We start from the raw sequence: 18,451 nt of genomic DNA on the forward strand, positions 1-18,451 counted from the left end.
AGGACAGCAGATGAATGGGTCTTATTTTTGTAATCCAACTTACCATTCTGTGCCTTTTACATGGGGCATTTAGAACATTTACATTCAAGGTTAATATTGATATGTGAAGTTTTAATCCTGTCATGAAGTTGTTATCTGGTTGCTTTGTAGATTGCATTGTGTGGTTGTTTTATAGGATCTGTGGGCTATGTGCTCAAGTGTGTTTTTATGGTAGCAGATATTGTTTCGTTTTCATGTTTAGAACTTTCTTAAGGATCTCCTGTAAGGTTGGTCTAACATTAATGAATTTCCTTAGCACTTACTTATCTGGAAAACATTTACTTCTCCTTCCCTTATGAAGCTTAGCTTGCTTTTGCCCATTTTAAAATCAGTGTGTCTGTTTTCTCATTGTTGAGTTTTAAGAGTTCTTTGTATATTTTTGATGTTAATAAGTTCTTTATCAGATCTATCTTTTGCAAATATTTTCTCCAAATCTGTGGCTTTTCTATTATTCTCTTGACAGTGTCTTTTGCAGAGCAGAAAAATTTAATTTTAATGAAGTCTGGCCTATCAAGTATTTCTTTCATGGATCATACCTTTGGTGTTATATCTAAAAAGTCATCACTATGCACTAGGTTATCTAGATTTTCTCTTATATTATTTTCTAGAAGTTTTATTTTATATTTTTATTTATGATCTAGTTTGGATTAATTTTGATGAAGTGTGTAAAGTCTATGTCCAGATTTATGTTTTTGTATGTGATTTCCAGTTCTAGCACCATTTGTTAAAAAGAATGCCTTTGCTTTATTTTATTGCCTTTATTCCTTTGTCAAAGATTAGTTGACTATATTTATGTGGGTCTCTTTCTGGGTTCTCTATTTTGTTCCATTGATCTATTTATCTATTCTTTTGCCTATAGCACACTGTCTTGATTATTCTAGCTTTATAGTAAGTCTTGAAGTCAGGTAGTGTGAGTCTGCCAACTTTGTTCTACTCCTTCAATATTTTGTTGACTTTTCTGGGTCTTTTGGCTCTCCATGTATACTTTAGAGTCAGTTTTCTTTGTATCCACAAAATAATAGATTTTGATGGGGATTGGGTTGAATCTATAGATTAAGTTAGGAATAACTGACATCTTGACAATATTGAGTGGTCATCTTTTTACTTTTTTAATGTGGCTATGAGAAAATTAAAAATTATGTATGCGGTTCAACTTATATTTCATTTTAACAGTGTGGGTATAGACCACTCTGGGTGCTGTTTACAAGTAGTTTGAGAAGCACTGCTGTCTACACCCTGGTGCCATTATGGCATCTTGTTAGGTAAAGCAAGAACTGGTCACTTCTGGTAGTTTTTCTTGTTTCTGATTATTATTTACTCTAAATACCTTCTAGGATCATTGGCACCTTCTCGGGGTTTGTCCCCAAGTCACCTAACATCACAGAGTTAGCATATCTCACTGAAGTCAGTCAAACTTGCATAAATTGGGTGTTATTTACCCTAAAGGACACTGTGTGTGTGTATGTGTGTGTGTGTGTGTTCAAAAGCATTAATCTTCCCAGCTCCCATGGAGTTACTTACATCTGCTCTGGGGCCCTGTTTGAGATTGTGGACACTTTACCTCTGTGGCTACTGTTTTCCTGACCTTAAGCTTGTGTGATCAGTTCATCGTTATCTCCAGATTCAACATATTGATGGGCAAATCTACCCCCTCCTCTCAAACTGAGCTCCAGTATAGCCTTCTCTGAGAAACTGCTCCACCCCTTGCCCTGAGCTGGATGTTCTCTCACATGACTTCCCATAATACCTGCTCCTTTTCCTAAATCTGAACATTTACCTGGTTACGTAGTAAATGTGGTCTAGTAAGCCTTCCTCACTTGACATCCCTAGAGTACAGGGAGTTCGCTTTATTCGTCTTAGTAACGATAGTATCTAGACAATTCGATGCATAATGTAACACTTTACAATATCCCTCAGATTGAAGCTGCAATGAGTTTTAAAAAGAAGTCAGTAATGTATTTTGGGTGGCCAGAGTCATTCATCTAATCAGCAAATATTTTTTGGCTATTTCCTTTGCAGAATGCTGTTCTGGGTAATTTAGAGGGGATATGGTCCCTCCTCTCTAAAGAAGCCACATCAGTTATCCTTCTCTGTCATTCAGCCTCCAAATCCCCTTCTCATGTGTGAAGTCTCACTTTATGAGACTTAGTGGTGAGAAGGATCCACCTCCCATTAGGAAAACTTAAAATGCCAGATCCTCATGTTTACAACTTCTTTGCAGCTAAAGCATGGGCACTTGACTGAGGTTTGACAACTCAGATATATTCCTTCCGCATTGGACCTGGGAGCAGTGGCTCAAAGAAGCAGGCACTGTGGGGAACCTTTGGATTCCCAAGGAGCAGTGTCAGTGGTACAGTGGCAGTATCTGGCGTTTTTGGGTGGTAGCAGTGAAATCCTCTCTGGTTTGTAGAGGGGAGGTATTGGATATTGTTTTCAGCTGAGTTCTCCAGATCTTTTGGCATTTCTGTGAGCCACCAAATATCCTTTTGATGAATTCCTTTTCGGTATAAATTAGTCAGAATTAGTTTCTGTTGCTGACCACTAAATATATTGACTTATTGGGGATAATAAGAAATAAATACATGAAAAGTGATATGACAATTGAAAATCCCAGTACAGAAAATGTCACAAAAGTGGCAGATTCAGTGAAAAATGAACCATGTGAGAAATATGCTATTATTGAAAAGGTAATGGACTCAGCAAGTTGCTTCAATAATCTGAGAGGCTTCACAGAGGAGGTGGCCTTGCCTTAGGCTTGGAGAGTGGGCTGGGCACATGGATAGACTCACTGCTGTGAAAAATATGAGTGAAGTAAAAGATGTGCATCCAGTCATAAAGTAGATTTGATCATAAAGGAACTACAGAAAACATCAAAGTAGAAAAGGCCAATATTTACTTGAAAGGAGGCTTGCCAGATTTAGCAAATAACAGGATGCCCCGTTAAATTTGAGTTTCAGATAATGCATAATTTTTAAGTGCATTTCCCTAATATATGTTTTATAGTTTTTATGAGTTATTACATAATTTAGAAATTTATGATTAAATTTTTTAGCATAAGTGAACACTTATTTTATCTGATGACTCTACCTGAAAGGGGATAGAGAACTTGAGTAGAAGAGCCTGGAATTACCAAAAGAAAATTTCTAGGACTAGTGAATTTGAGCTCAGCTTTAAAGGAGATTTGGCAGTCAAGCCAAGAGCCAAATCAGGAACAAACTCCCATTCACAATTGCCACAAAAAGAATAAAATACCTAGGAATACAGCTAACTAGGGAGATGAAAAATCTCTAGAAGGAGAACTATAAACCACTGCTCAAAGAAATCACAGATGACACAAACAAATGAAAAAACATTTTATGCTCATGGATAGGAAGAATCAAATATCAGTAAAATAGCCATATTGCCCAAAGCAATTTATAGATTCTATACTATTCCTATCAAACTACCATTGAGATTCTTCACATAACTAGAAAAAAACTATTTAAGCCAAAAAAGAGCCCAGATAGCCAATGCAATCCTAAGCAAAAAGAACAAAGCCGGAGGCATCATGCTACCCAGCTTTGAACTGTACTACGGGGCTACAGTAACCAAAACAGCATGGTACTGGTACAAAAACAGACACATAGAGCAATGGAACATAATAGAGAATGCAGACATAAGACTGCACACCTACAGCCATCTGATCTTCTACAAACCTGACGAAAACAAGCAATGGGGAAAGGATTCCCTATTTAATAAATGGTGCTGGGAGAATTGGCTAGCCATATGCAGAAAATGGAAACTGGACCCCATCCTTACAGGTTATACAAAAATTAACTCAAGATGGATTAAAGGCGTAAATGTAAAACCCAAAACTATGAACACCCGGGAAAATAACTTAGGCAATACCAATCAGGACATAGTCTCTGGCAAATATTTTATGACAAAGATGCCAAAAACAATTGCAACAAAAGCAAAAATTGACAAATGAGATCTAATTAAACTAAAGAGCTTCTGCCCAGCAAAAGAAACTATCAACAGAGTAAACAGACAACCTACAGAATGGGAGAAATTTTTTGCAAGCTATGCATTTGACAAAGGTGTAATATCCAGTATCTATAAGAACTTAAACAAATTTACAAGAAAAAAACCCAAACAACCCCATTAAAAAGTAGGCAAAAGACATAAACAGACACTTTTCAAAAGAAGACATATATGTGGCCAACAATCATATGAAAAAAAGCTTATCACTGATCGTTAGAGAAATGCAAATCAAAACCACATGAGATACCATCTCACGCCAGTCAGAATGGCTATTATGAAAAAGTCAAGCAATAACAGATGCTGATGATGTTGTGGAGAGAAAGGAATGCTTATATACTGTTGGTGGGAGTGTAAAGTAGTTCAACCATTGTGGAAGACACTGTGGCAATTCCTCAAAGACCTAAAGACAGAAATACCATTTGACCCAGCAATCCCATTACTGGGTATATACCCTAATGAATATAAATAATATAATATAAAAGTATGAATATTATATAATTATATAATAGTTATATAATCTATATTTCTTTGAGTATACATCCAGTAATGTTCTATTACAAGGATACATGTACTTGTATGCTCATTGCATCATTATTCACAATAGCAAAGACATGGAATCAACCTAAATGTCCATCAATGGTAGACTGGTTAAAGAAAATGTGATACATATACACCATGGAATAGTATGCCACCATAAAAAGGAATGAGATCATGCCCTTTGCAGGGACATGGATGCAGCTGCAGGTCATTATCCTTAGCAAATAACCCAGGAACAGAAAACCAAATACTACATGTTCTTACTTATAAGTGGGAGCTAAATGATGAGAACACATGGAGACATGGTGGGGAACAGTACACACTAGGGCCTGTTGGAGAGAGGAGGGTAAGAGGAGGGAGAGGATCAGGAAAAATAACTAATGGGTACTAGGCTTAATACATGGGTGATGAAATAATCTGTACAACAAACACCCATGTCACAAGTTTGCCTATGTAACAAACCTGTACATGTACCCCTGAACTCAAGATAAAAGTTAAAAAAAGGAAACACATGCAAAAATAAAAGAGATTTGGAATATGGAGGAAAAGGTGATGAAGGAAATAAAAAATGCCAATTAATTAAACTTCCACTATTTTCTAGATGCTCTAGTAGACACTTTAACTCATTCTCATATCAGAACAATGCTGTGAGGTAGGTATAATGAAGTTTTCCCCTTTTCTTATACAAGTCAAGAAATTAAGACTCAGAAATTCAATAACTTGTGTAGAAGCCAGAGTTATGCTAGGGGGTCCTCCTGCAAAGCCTATGATCATCAGTAGGAGAAAATATGCATGTGAAGGTTGATAACCAGCTTTTCTTGCATGCAATAAGGGCAAGCCCTGTGTTGGGTGCACAAGAGATGTCAGCTCTGACAACCAAGAAGTGTTTGGGTTTGATTCGGCATGCAAGAATAGGGAAGTTATTTTGGATGAGAGATGTACAGTTCAGTTTCCAATGGATAAATGGGAAGAATATAGAGTCAGGGAAATGGATTAGAAGGTTTTTTCAGTGATTTCCATTTGAGTTTTTGTGGGCTTTGTCTGGGGTGGGAATTTGGAAAGAGTAGGGAAGGGACATGCATAACTGGAAAATCTTAATCCTGATGATGGAAAGCCTAAAAAGAGAGACATTGAAGTGAGAGAACAATGAACTTAATTTTACAAACACTATTGGAGTCACTGGGCAAATGCACTAAAATAACTGGCAACGTGAGCCCAGAGAAATCCTGGGAGACATCTGTTATTAGGTGGAGATTGGAGATATATGAGGGGAGGAAGAATGGGAAGATGAAAGAGAAGAAGGCCAAGGTCCAGGTCTTAGCAAAGGCAATGGTGGAGGCAGGTCAAGAAGGAGTGAAGAAAAGAGGTTGAGAGGAGGGCAGGGAAGTAAGGGAAACAGGAGAGTAACCTGTGGGGCAGAGGGGAGCAGGAGGGTTAAGTGGCCTATCAGTGAGGCCAAACCCGTGACTAGGCTTTTCTTATTTGTGGGAGTCAGCCAGTCACAGGCAGTGGCCATTCTGGTCCTGTAGAAAGTCAAATTCCTATTTTATAGTGTGGACTTAATTTAATTGGAGAACAAATATCTTTGAAAGATTTGATGCATCAGTCTAGAACTCTACCCCAAACTCTAATCTTTAGTGTGTTCTTGTTTTAAAATAAGGTGACATAATCCAGTTTTGGAGTTTTTACAGCTGTTCTTTGCATTGACTGTTATACTGTACGCTGTGTACCCTGACTTGCGTGCTATGCCTTAAATGATTTTTGGTCATGGTCTTTTTTTCACTGCACTGAATTTCAAAGTTATTGTCTATTTCAGTCACTGGCATTATGGTTATCTTTAGAGAAAATTAAACAAGTAAACCATTTACATGCCCTAAGTAGATGGAAAATGATCTAAAATTGCATGCTTCTTTCCTGGAGATCTCTTTGCCAAATTCTTGGGCTAATCATCTAAATATTTGGATTCAACACTTTCTATTGGATCCATTTGTCTCATGACTGGTATGTTCAAAATTCCAGATGTGGAATTTGCCCCTCACTATTTTATTAAACAAAGATGTTACTCTGGTTTGGCAAAATGTCTTAAAGGTGGTGAGCAACAATGGCTTCAATATTTAGTGTATTTGAATACTGCCTTCTCAACAGGACAATATACTGCATTCTTTTCTTGGATAATTAAAATGTACTAAATGTTGTGTTTGGGCAGTAAAACCTAATTAAACACCCTGATGGAAAATAAGGCTCAGGGTCCTGTGGCAGGCCTGTAACCTTTAAACCAGAAGGCAGGGGAGCCCCCATATGTGCATCCATGGTTTTGGTCATTTAGAAGGACATCCAATTTTGCGGCTTCTTAACTGGCTGCCAAAAGAGGGATGGGATGGATGTTATGAGCACTATCTAGCTTAATGCAATTTAGGAAAGTTACCTCCTGAGCTATAATGAGGAGTTCCCCCTACCTGTTTAGCTCATGCCCGCAGAGAACTTGATTGTGATTCTGGGCCAGAGCAAAGGCTTGACTTGCAACTCCTCCTGATCCACTTAGCTGCTGAATTCCCTTTCTGAGGGGCTTTTCCTTCTGGTGCCAAGCTTCTGTTTTCAGAGCAGAGTCATCTGATGTTTCACACACAGGCTTTCCTTGCTTCTCTTTCTCTTTTTCAGCTCACAGTAGCCCAGGCCTTTGGGAAGCTTCTATAAAAGGCCTTGGAGAAGTTCCAGATATGTGAGTGTGGCAACTCAGATCGGAAAATAACACTGGGACCCAAATGCTAGTTTCAATATCCTTCTTTGGTTCTTGTCTGTTTGAATGTGGCAGACATGACCATACGTGAAAGATTTGATCAGTTGATTCATTATGGCTCACTGACTAATAGGCCTCTGAGATATACCTGTCTCTCCTCTGGTGTCCCAAGCTTTAGGGAGGGAGTCTCTCCATGCCAAACTTTACCCCTTCTTCCCTGACCCCAGTACCATCTGGTCTCCCTCCTCTTGTGGTAGAAGCTTAAGTATTAATGTTTTGAAGAAGCCAAGAATCCCTATGTTTTAGCTTGTATTATGAACTGAATGTTTGTGTCCCCCCACCCCAGATTCCTATGTTGAAATCCTCACACCTAAAGTGATGGTATTAGGAAGTAGGGCCTTTCGAAAGTGAGCAGCTCATGATGGTGGAGCACCCCATGAATGGAATTAGTGCCCTTGTCAGAAGATATGAGAAAGATAATTTTTTCTTGGCCATGTGAGGATACAATAAAAAGATGGCCATCTGCAAACCTGGAAGCAGACCCTCGCCAGGCACTGGATCTGCTGGCACCTTGATCTTGGACTTCCCAGCCTCCAGAACTGTGTGAAATAAATGTCTGTTGTTTAAGCCATCCAGTCCATAACATTCTGTTATAGCAGCCTGAACTGACTAAGGCAGATTGGGTTCCCCCAGAACCTGACCCTGACACAAGGATTTGAGGGCACATAATTAATTTGTGAAGTTATTCTAGGAAACAGTAGTAGGGGAGTGGGGAAGAGACAAGGGGAAGGGAAGGAAGCCAATTAAAGGTGCAGTATCAAGCAGGTTACATCTGTGGGCAACTGAGGTCAGTTCCACTGGAGATCTCTGGGAGACAGTGTGGACAATGCCTCAGAGTTACCTGAGCAAGAAAGCTGAGTATTAATCCCCCAACTCTCCCAAATCATCCTCTTAGGGCTGCTCACAAGGGAATTAGCTCCCTAAAGCATTTGCTTCACTGAACTTCATGATAAATACCAAGGAAGAGAGAGACTTGCTGGTTCAGATGAAAAATGAAAACACTGACACATTTAGGAGAACCTATGCCCATTTTGATTCTTGGCGACTTCTTCTCATTCTGTCTTTTGGGGAAGAAAGTGGTGAAGCATTGTTACAATACCCAAGTCCTCCTGGCTAGTAGGAGAGCCTGAGAGCCCAGTTGCCTCTGACCTGAGCTGTAACTATCTTTTTCATAGGGATTGCTCTAACTTCTCCCTACTTCTCAGTCCATCTGACACATGGTTCCCAAACAAGCCCTTCTGAAAATGCTGCTTTTCTTTGCTGCTCATCTCCCTAACCTGGCTTCTAAAGTTACTTTCTCTATTTGATTCTAGCCTACTTGCCAGGCATGTCTCCTATCTGCACTCTATGCTCCATCCAAATGAGATTATCCTGGGTCAGCTTTAGGGCTTCTCTCTTCTAGGCTTCAACTTATGTTGTTCCTTCCACCTGGAATACCCTGCATGAAACTTGTTCTTACTTTATTTGGTTTGTTGAAATCCTACCAAGTCTTTAAAGCCCCACCTAGATTTCTCTTTAATGAACTCTTTTCTTTGCCCTTTAACTCTCTGTGACACTTTTACTGCTGTCTTCTATTGTTTCTGGTATGTGTGTTCTCTATTCTATTAGATTTTAAATGTCTTGGGGGTAAGGACCATGTTTTATTCATCTCTATATCATTCCATATTCATCCAGCTAATTTAACAAAGATTCATTGAGTGTCAGAGACTGCATTCAAAATTGGAGCTCCAAAGATAAATGAGACATGACCCTTGCTCTCAAGGGAGCTCACAGGCCAGGCATAAGGGAGTGACTAGTGTAAATAAGTGTGTGTATCCATCTCGGTGCCTCAAATATTAGAGAATGGGCAAAGATCATGAGCGCAGAGAATGAATGAAGGTACAGGGAGAACGTTTATTCTCATCTTATTTCCTGCAAATGCTCAGAAATTAGTTTGGGAAGATAGTTTTTAGGGGAGAAAATGAACATACAGTAGTCTTCCCTTATTTTTCAGAATATGTTCTAAGACCCCCAGTGGATGTTTGAACCCGGGGGTAGTACTGAACCCTATATACACTAGGTTTTTTCCTATATCTACATACCTATGATAAAGTTTAATTTATAAACTAGACGCAGCAAGAGATTAGCAATAATAACTAATGAAAAAATGGAACAATTATAACAATATACTGTAATAAAAGCTATGTGTAAGTAGTCTTTCTCTCTGTCTCTCAAAATATCTTATTGTATGTAATATTTTTGGACCATGATTGACTGCAGGTAACTGAAACCTTGGAAAGTGAAACAGTGAATAAGCAGGGAATATTGTAATTAGATTATGGCGGGAAGCACTTCTGTGTATCTCTCTTGGGGTGACAGAATGGTTTAGAAAAGGGCAATAAGCTTCAGAATCAGATTGCTCTGAGTTTGAATTCTAACTGTGCCAATTTATAGTTATGTGACTGTGAGTTACCTGCTTATTTCTTTATGTATAAAACAGATAATACCCAACTAATAGCATAGTTGTAAAATTAAATGAGATAACACTTTCATAGGGCCTAGCAAATGTTTGGAACTTATTAGATGCTTGGTAACTAATGGGCTTCACCCTACCATCTCTGCTTTTAAAAAATAAAGGGAATTTTTGATTTTCTGTCTATACTAGAACAATCTGGGTGGAGAGAGGTTTGATCTCTTCACTTTTCTCTACCTAAGTGGAAAGCTTTGAACTTACATTTCTTTTTCATTGCTTTTGAATCTCCATGCCAATTTCAAGCATAGATTTCAGGTACTATTGGGCTCAGTGGTGGAAAGAGGGAGAAGTTGGCCTTCCTTTGGGGCATCTAAAGAAAGACCTTTAGATAGGGTAATGTTCTAAAAGTAGGAATTGCTTTTAGAAATTAGATCTCCTTTCCACTTGAATTTGTGAATCATTAGAGCTTAAATAGTCCTTATGGTTTTTCTATTTTTAGATCATTTCCATTTATTTTTAGAGGATTCAATGAAAAGATGCTGGTTTTGGTGCCCTGGGGTCAGCTTTTTTCTTTATCTTTTCTTCCAATAAACAGTTATTGAATACCTACTGAATACCAGGCGCTGATTAATGAGCAAGTAGTGAGCAAAACAGACAAGGGCACTGCCCCCAGAGACCTTATAACTTGTGGCAATGGGGGCTGGCAGTGATTAAATAATTACGTGGATAAATATATAATGCTAAACTCTGAAAAGAAATGAAACGGAAATTCTAGGAAACTCTGAGCACTGTACTAATCTAGATGAAAAGGAAATTCTAGGAATCTCTAAGCCTTGTACCGGTCTATATGGTGACTCATAAAACTTTCTGGAGGAGGGGGGGCATTTGAATTGATTCAGATTTGTGGGTGAAAGGTGCTAATGAGGCAAAAGGAGTTGGGGTGGGTCTACGCATACCGGGAGAAGGGGATGACTTATGAGTGCCTCCTGAAGCTTGCAGGGACGTGGTTTGACCTTGGAACACGAAAGAGACCAAGAAATAAGGCTAAAGAGGTTGGTGACGATCAGATTTTGTAGAGCCTGGTGTGCCATGGGAAGGCATTGGTTTTTGTGGGAGACTTTTGAAGGATTTTAAAAGGACTGATGTGATGAGACTTGCATTTTGAGAAAGTTTTTTTTTGGCCATGCTATGGAAATGGAGGGCCTAAGAATGGAAGCTAGGAGAACAGTTTGGGTAGATCAGGTGAGAGTCGATGGAAGCTTCATTTGGGGACTTGGCTATATGACTGGGGAGAAAGGAGTGGAATCCAGAGAGATTTAAGAAGTAAACTAAATAGCTTTAGGTGATGGATTGACTATGAGGATGGGGCCTGGCTTGTAATCTTGGTCTTTAATCAGTAAAGCTCTGAGAACCATGCACATGCTGATGACCATTGTAAAAATCACCTGCAACCTCAGAGATGTTCAAGGTGATCAGGGGGCCCAAGAGAACATTAGGCTGGGTGTGAAGAGAAGACTTTTCTTTGCAGTCTTCACAAACCATTGAACTTTTCTAGATCTGAATTTTGCCATCTGCAAAACAAATGGGTTGTATTAGATGAGCTCCACACATGAACTGCATACAGCTCTCTATTCTTAAGGAGCAAATCAATCTTAGATTTTCTATATTAACACTTTTATATTTGCAGAACAATTACTGTGTGTGTATGTGTGTGTGGGGGGGTGCTTTCATATTAATGATCACATAGATTTTCATAACAGTCTTGTGAACTCTTAAAGTTTTCTCTCCAGTGGCCAAATGAGGAGACTGAGATCCAGGAAGATTAGAAAGTTTGTCTAAGATTACAAATTGTTGGCAAAATTAGAGACCTTAAGGCTGAGTGTGGTGGGTCACAACTGTAATCCTAGCACTTTGAGAGGCCGAGACAGGAGGATTCCTTGAAGCCAGGAGTTCAAGACCAACCTAGGCAGCAAAGCAAGATGACCCCATCTCTAAAAAAAACCCCAAAAACATAGAGTCCTTAAGTCTCCTAATTTTTTCTGACCCCCTTTTATTAGTTCTTTCTTTCTTCTATTGTATATTTATATGCCTTTGTATTCTGTTTATCCCCCTTCCATTCCATTTTTTTTAAGTATTCCATCCAAGAAGGCAGAGTGAGGCAGTGTAACTTCCTTTAAGCACTTCTGATATTTGGTTTGAAACTATATGCTCACTTGAAACTTGGACTTACTTGTGATTATTCTTGCCACTCCTGACCCAATTACTAAGAATAAATAATAATTTGGGCAAATTTCAAATGTTCATATAGAGAAAATGTAAGCAGATACAGAGGTCATGAAAGACTGGCCTGATTAGGAAGAAGTCTATTATTATATTTCAACTTTTGCTTCCAAAACCGGGCAGTCACCATTTTATAAGTGGATTTGGTTCTAAAGCCATCTTATAAATGATGGTGAATATTGGGACTGATCATTTTTGAACCCTATTTGATATGTTCTATATCTCAAAGAAGATTCAGCTCAAGAGAAAAATCCAGCCCAATGAATAGCTGTTATTTGAGGGCAGTCTTTCCTTCCTGGTTAACTGGGCTGAACACTTATCCAGAAGGTAATTTGGTCTCCATTCAGCAAACAAATACCCAGCCAGTTTTGATTGTTCACCTACTGTGTCAGTTTGTTCTTGCACTGCTATAAAGAAATACCTGAAGCTGGGTAATTTATAAAGAAAAGAGGTTTAATTGGCTTATGTTCTGCAGGCTGTACAGCAAGTATAGTACTGGCATCTGTTTGGCTTCTGGTGAGATCTCAGGGATCTTTTACTCACGTTGGAAGGTGAAATAGGAGCAGACATGTAACACGACAAGCGAGTAAGCAAGAGAGAGAGGGTGAGGAGGTCCCAGGCAAATCTGAAACCCAGCAGGGAAGGCATTAAATCTTCAAGCTCCAACACAATCCTTGACTCCATGTCCCATATCCTGGTGTGAGGGGTGAGCCCCCAAGGCCTTAGGCAGCCCTGCTCCTGTGGCTTTGCTGAATGCAGCCCATGTGGCTGCTCTCATGGGTTGGAGTTGAGTGCTTGTGGTTTTTCCAGGCAGAGGGTGCAAGCTGCCGGTGAATCTACCTTTCTGAGGTCCAGAGGGCAGTGGCTCCTTTCTCACAGCTCCACTAGGCAGTGCCCTGGTGGGGACTCTGTGTGGGGGCTCCAACCCCAGATTTCTCCTCAGCATTGCCCTAGTAGAGTTTCGCTGTGGGGGCTCTGCTCCTGCAGCTGGCTTCTGTCTGGTCACCCAGACTTTCTCATACATCTTCAGAAGTCCAGGCAGAGGTTGTCAAGCCTCATTTACTCCTGCATTCTGTGCACTTACAGGCTTAATACCACCTGTTAACCACCAAGGCTTATGGCAGGTTACAATCTCCAAAGTTGCAGCCTGAGCTGTACCAGGGACCCTTTGAGCTGAGTCTGGAACTGGAGCAGCTGGGATTTGGGAAGCAGTGTCCTGAAGTGGCTCAGGGCAGTGATGCCCTGGGCCTGGCTGCTGAAACCATTCTTTCCTCCCAGGCCTCTAGGCTTACAATAGGAGAGGCTGCCTTGGAGATTTATGAAAAAGCCTTTAGGGCCTTTTTCCCGTTGTCTGGGATATTAGCACTTGGCTCTGTTTTAGTTTTGCAAAGCTCTCTATCAAGTGGTTGCTCTGTAGCTTGCTTGGATTCTTTCTCTGTCATAGGGCCATGCTGCAAATTTTCCAAACTTTTATGTGCTCTGTTTCCCTTTTAAATATAAGTTCAAACTTTAAATCATTTCTTTGCTCCCACATCTGATTGTAGGTTGTTAGAAATAGGCCACTTCTTAAATGCTTTGCCGCTTAGAAATTTCTTCCATTAGATACCCTATGTCATCACTCTTAAGTTCAAACTTCCACAGATTTCCAGAGCATGAACATAATATGCCCAAGCTGTTTGTTAAGGTATAACACAGGTGATCTTTAACTGCAGTTCCCAATAAATTCCTCATTTCCATCTGAGACCTTGTCAGCCTGACCTTCACTGTCCATATTTATTTTTCTTTTCATTCTTTCTTTCTTTTTTCCTTTCTTTTTTTTTTTGAGATGGAGTCTTTCTTTGTCACCCAGGGTGGAGGGCAGTGGCATGATCTCAGCTCAGTGCAACCTCCACCTCCTGGGTTTAAGTGATTCTCCTGCCCCAGCCTCCCGAGTGGCTGGAATTACAGGTGTGCACCACCATGCCTGGCTAATTTTTGTATTTTTAGTAGAGACACGGTTCCACCATGTTGGCCAGGCTGGTCTTGAACCCCTGACCTCAAGTGGTCTGCCCACCTTGGCCTCCCAAAATGCTGAGATTACAGGTGTGAACCACTGTGCCCAGCCTACTGTCCATATTTCTATCAGTATTTTGGTTGCAACCAATGAACAAGTCTCTAAGAAGTTCCAAACTTTCCTTCATCTTCCTGTCTTCTTCTCAGCCTTAGAAACTTGTCCCAACTCTGCCAATTACCCAGTTACAAAGTCATTTCCACCTTTTCAGGTATCTTTATAGCAACACTCCACTCCTTGGTACCAATTTTCCTACCATGTTCCCATTTCTTACCTTTTTTCTTCTGGAAACTTCTAGCTTTCTACATAGAGGATACTGCTTCAGTAGTCTGAACTAGAAAAACAGAAAGAAAGCCCACAGTGGCCTGGAAATCCTCAACACTCCATAGATTTAAAAGCCTGGAAAGTCCATAGGCCAAAAAGGATCTTTGGTCAGTGTCTCACTATCTATTGCTGCATAACAAACAACCCCAAAACTTAGTGCTCTAAAACAACAACAAATTTGTTACATCTTATGAATTCATGGGTCACAAATTTGGTTCAGGTTTCTCCTAATCAATTATTCTGTTCCATGTGGTGTTGACTGAGGTCACTCAGTGGTATTCAGTTAATGGCTCATTTGGTCTGGAAGATTCAAGATGTCTTCAATCACATGTATGGTACTCTGGTGAGGATGACTGGAAAGATGACTGGAGAAAGAGACCCAACCTCTCAATGGAAGTTGTGTCAAAGAATTTGTAGCCATGGTTAATCCACCACACTTTAAATGTTATAATTCTTTCATTTCTTCAGTCCCAGCACTAAGTCTGAATACACCATTTACCTAAGGAGCTAGTGTTGTTCTAGCTCTTCCAACTTTCCTTGTCTGGCCTGTCCATGGTTGGGACTCATTGGTAAGGAGTGCTTTCCCTTATTATTGGCCTCTAAGGCCCAGGGATCTTGACCCTCTGAGTGTATCATTATCCTTTGGATGTTCTTGTTGCTTCCTTGAAGGATCCTGCCCTGAATAGGCTCCTGATCTCCTGGAAAAGTGTGATGTATTTTTAAGAAATTTAATCTTGGCCAGGTGTGGTGGCTCACGCCTGTAATCCCAGCACTTTGGGAGGCTGAGGTGGGTGGATCATGAAGTCAGGAGTTCGAGACCAGCCTGGCCAATGTAGTGAAACCCTGTCTCTACTAAAAATACAAAAATTAGTCAGGCATGGTGGCATGCACCTGTAGTCCCAGCTACTCGGGAGGCTGAGGCAGGAGAATCACTTGAACCCAGGAGGCGGAGGTGGCAGTGAGCCAAGATCATGCCACTGCACTCCAGTCTAGGCAACAGAGTGAGACTCCATCTCAAAAAAAAAAAGAAATTTAATCTTAATAAATCTCTTACATATATATTAGCGAATCCCTCTTTGGTAGGTTTTCAGGCTGTGTGACAAACATAAATCTAGAAAGTATGTTGGGTGAATCATACTTGTGCACAAAGTTCCATGCATACTGATCTTATTTTAGTTCTTCAAACATGCCAGGCTCTTTCCCACTTTCCAAGAACTTGTGTATGCCTTTTCTCCTGTCTGAAACAGCTTGTCTTTCCTTCCGCTGGGCTAACATCCATTTAACCTAGGAATTGCAGCTTCGATGGCATTCATCCACAAAGGCTTGTACTTAATCCTTTGTCTAAATTAGCCTCCTTATTTTTGGTCTTCTAGGCCCTGTTCTCTTCCTTTATAATATGCATCATAATTTATAATTAGATATTTATTTTCATGTTTATTTCTTTGTCATCTGTCTCCTCCATGATATGTATGCTTCTTGAGGGTAGAGATTATCTGTTACATTCACTGCTATATTGGCTCAACAAATATTTGCTAAATGAATGTGTGGATGTGTGTGTGTGTGTGTGTGTGTGTGTGTATGAGAGCGTATCATATAGATAGGCAGGCAGTACATCAAGTTGTGCTTCTGGCATCAGTTCCCAGACTTGTTTCTGTTTTTTGTAGGAGTTCTCCTGTCTCTATTACTCTAAACACTTAAAGCCATTTTTAAGAGGCAGGCTCATGGTGAGTGATGGCATCAGAATGTGTGACCCGGGAGAAGGAGGTCACATTCATAGGTAAAGATCAGCCTGGAAATGACCTTTTGTCTGGACCTACTCCCTCAAAATGTTGAACATGGAATTGGAGGAAAGACAGAAAAGAAGCTGGAGTAATGATTGATAGTTTTTTCTGAATAGCTTTTCTCTCTTTTCATAGTATTAGGATTTTCACCTTTGCATGTATGGTTCGAAATAATGAATACATTTCCCATTCTCCCTTGCTGCTAAGTATGACCATGTGTCTATATTCTGGCCAATGGGATGTAAGCAGAAGGATTATGTAACTTTTTTTTTTTTTTTAACTATTATTTTGTCTATCCTGTTTCTTATAATCCAAATGCTGTCATCTTGGACCATGAAGACAAAGAGTAGAACCTCAGGATAGAGGAGCAGTGAATTGGAAGGATTTTGTATTGTTAAAGACTTCGTGAGGAGAGCTACCTTATTAGCATTGGCCTGTATATCTCCAGAATTTTATAGGAGGGTAAAATAAAATTCCACCTTTTTAAAGTGTTTTTAAATAGGTTTTCTGTCCATCTCTGGCAAAGCTAATATTAATGGGTATGAAATTATGTCTCATATCAGATTATGTGAGTTTGGTCCCCAACAATGTCAGAAAAACAAAAGATAAGACAATACCAATGGTAAGACAGAGAGTGTATCACTGACCATGGGCTCCAGGATATTTCTTAATGTATTTCCAAAGGTAGATTTTTTATGGGGGAAAATAAATCCACATTTCAGGCTCTCCTTTCTTGACTGTTACAAAGGATTGGGAAAATTATTCCATGCCTAGAGGGCTTTCTGATTTCACCAGCAACTTCTGCTGTATCTTAAAGCACAAATTGATTTCTTTATTACTGTTAGAAAGTTCACCTGCCAGATTATACTGATTTCCTGAAGTCATTTTGGACAAAGGAAAGGTCACATTGTTTTTTAGTAAAGACAGGGTTTTTCTCCTGTATCACTTCCCTGGTTTTCTTTTTTTTCAGCCTTTCTTTTGTAATGTCTTAAATAAGACATTTCCCCAAGATGTTTAAAGCAACAATACTTAACCTTTGTACAACCCTTTCATCTCTAGAGTCTTTTGCAATGGGTACTGAATGAAGTCAGAAATCTTCTTGCAAAGGATCATTGGTGACTACAAGTGAGTATGGGGAGAGTTTTGAGTTCATGAACTATTAGATACAATTTTAAAAGTAGAAAAAAAACATTATCAAGAGTGGTTGACACAAGTTGCCATGCTTGGTGCTAATGAAAATAATTCTGGACCCTGAAGAATCTGGTCTAGTAGGGTCTCACATGGATATACCTAAAATCATTCAGCATAGAAGGAGGCATCTCTATCATAACTACTCTTGTTTGGGTTCTTTCCATTCACTCTTCCCTCCTTTCTCTGCCTTTCCCCATTTCTTAACCCCGTCTTTACAGATATTTCACCTTTACCTTATCGAGATACCATCTCCCATGGTCTTAGGTTGGATTTCCCTGGAAGTGGACTTTGAGACAAGGACTTGAGTGCAAGGAGTATATTTGAGAAGTGATCTGGTTAGAACTAGTAGGGGAATAGGGGAAGGGAGACAAGAAATGAAAAGTGAGCAGGTTATGAGTGTGAGCAACAGGGGCTCAACCCCACTGGGGACCTCTGGGAGACAGTGAAGAACATGGCTCAGAGTTCTCCCACCTGAGGGAGAGGGTGCTGGATTATTTATTATAAATAAAGTTAAAGAGAAAAGAAGTATGTTTGAGGACAACTGATTTTTAAAAATAAGTCTTGTAGAACTATTTGACTTCCTGAATTATGTGCATGTATAATAAGAAAATAAACAGTCTATAGGGATTACTAAGAATTTTATTGATTTGCCTATGTCAAATAGAAAAATATACCAATTTTAACATTAAAACAGGGGCTTTTCTCTACTCCACCTTTCTAGTATTTATTATTTTTAATTTGACTTTGGGGGTCAAGGGGTAATTTTGAGCACTCACTAAGTATGTGGCATTATGCTAGACCCTCAGAAGTTGGAAGATAGGAGAACTTTAGTCCCAGCCTTCTAAAATTTATAACAGAACAGAGAGAAAAGTCATATGTTGGAAATTACAAAGATTAATTCTATAATTTATTGGAAGTGAATTGGAAATTAAATTTAAGGTTTATACAAGCCAATGTAAGGCAGTGTCATTCAGGAT

The sequence above is a fragment of the Homo sapiens genome, chromosome X (genome assembly GCF_000001405.40).
Source record: "Homo sapiens chromosome X, GRCh38.p14 Primary Assembly".
Lineage (NCBI taxonomy): Eukaryota > Metazoa > Chordata > Mammalia > Primates > Hominidae > Homo > Homo sapiens.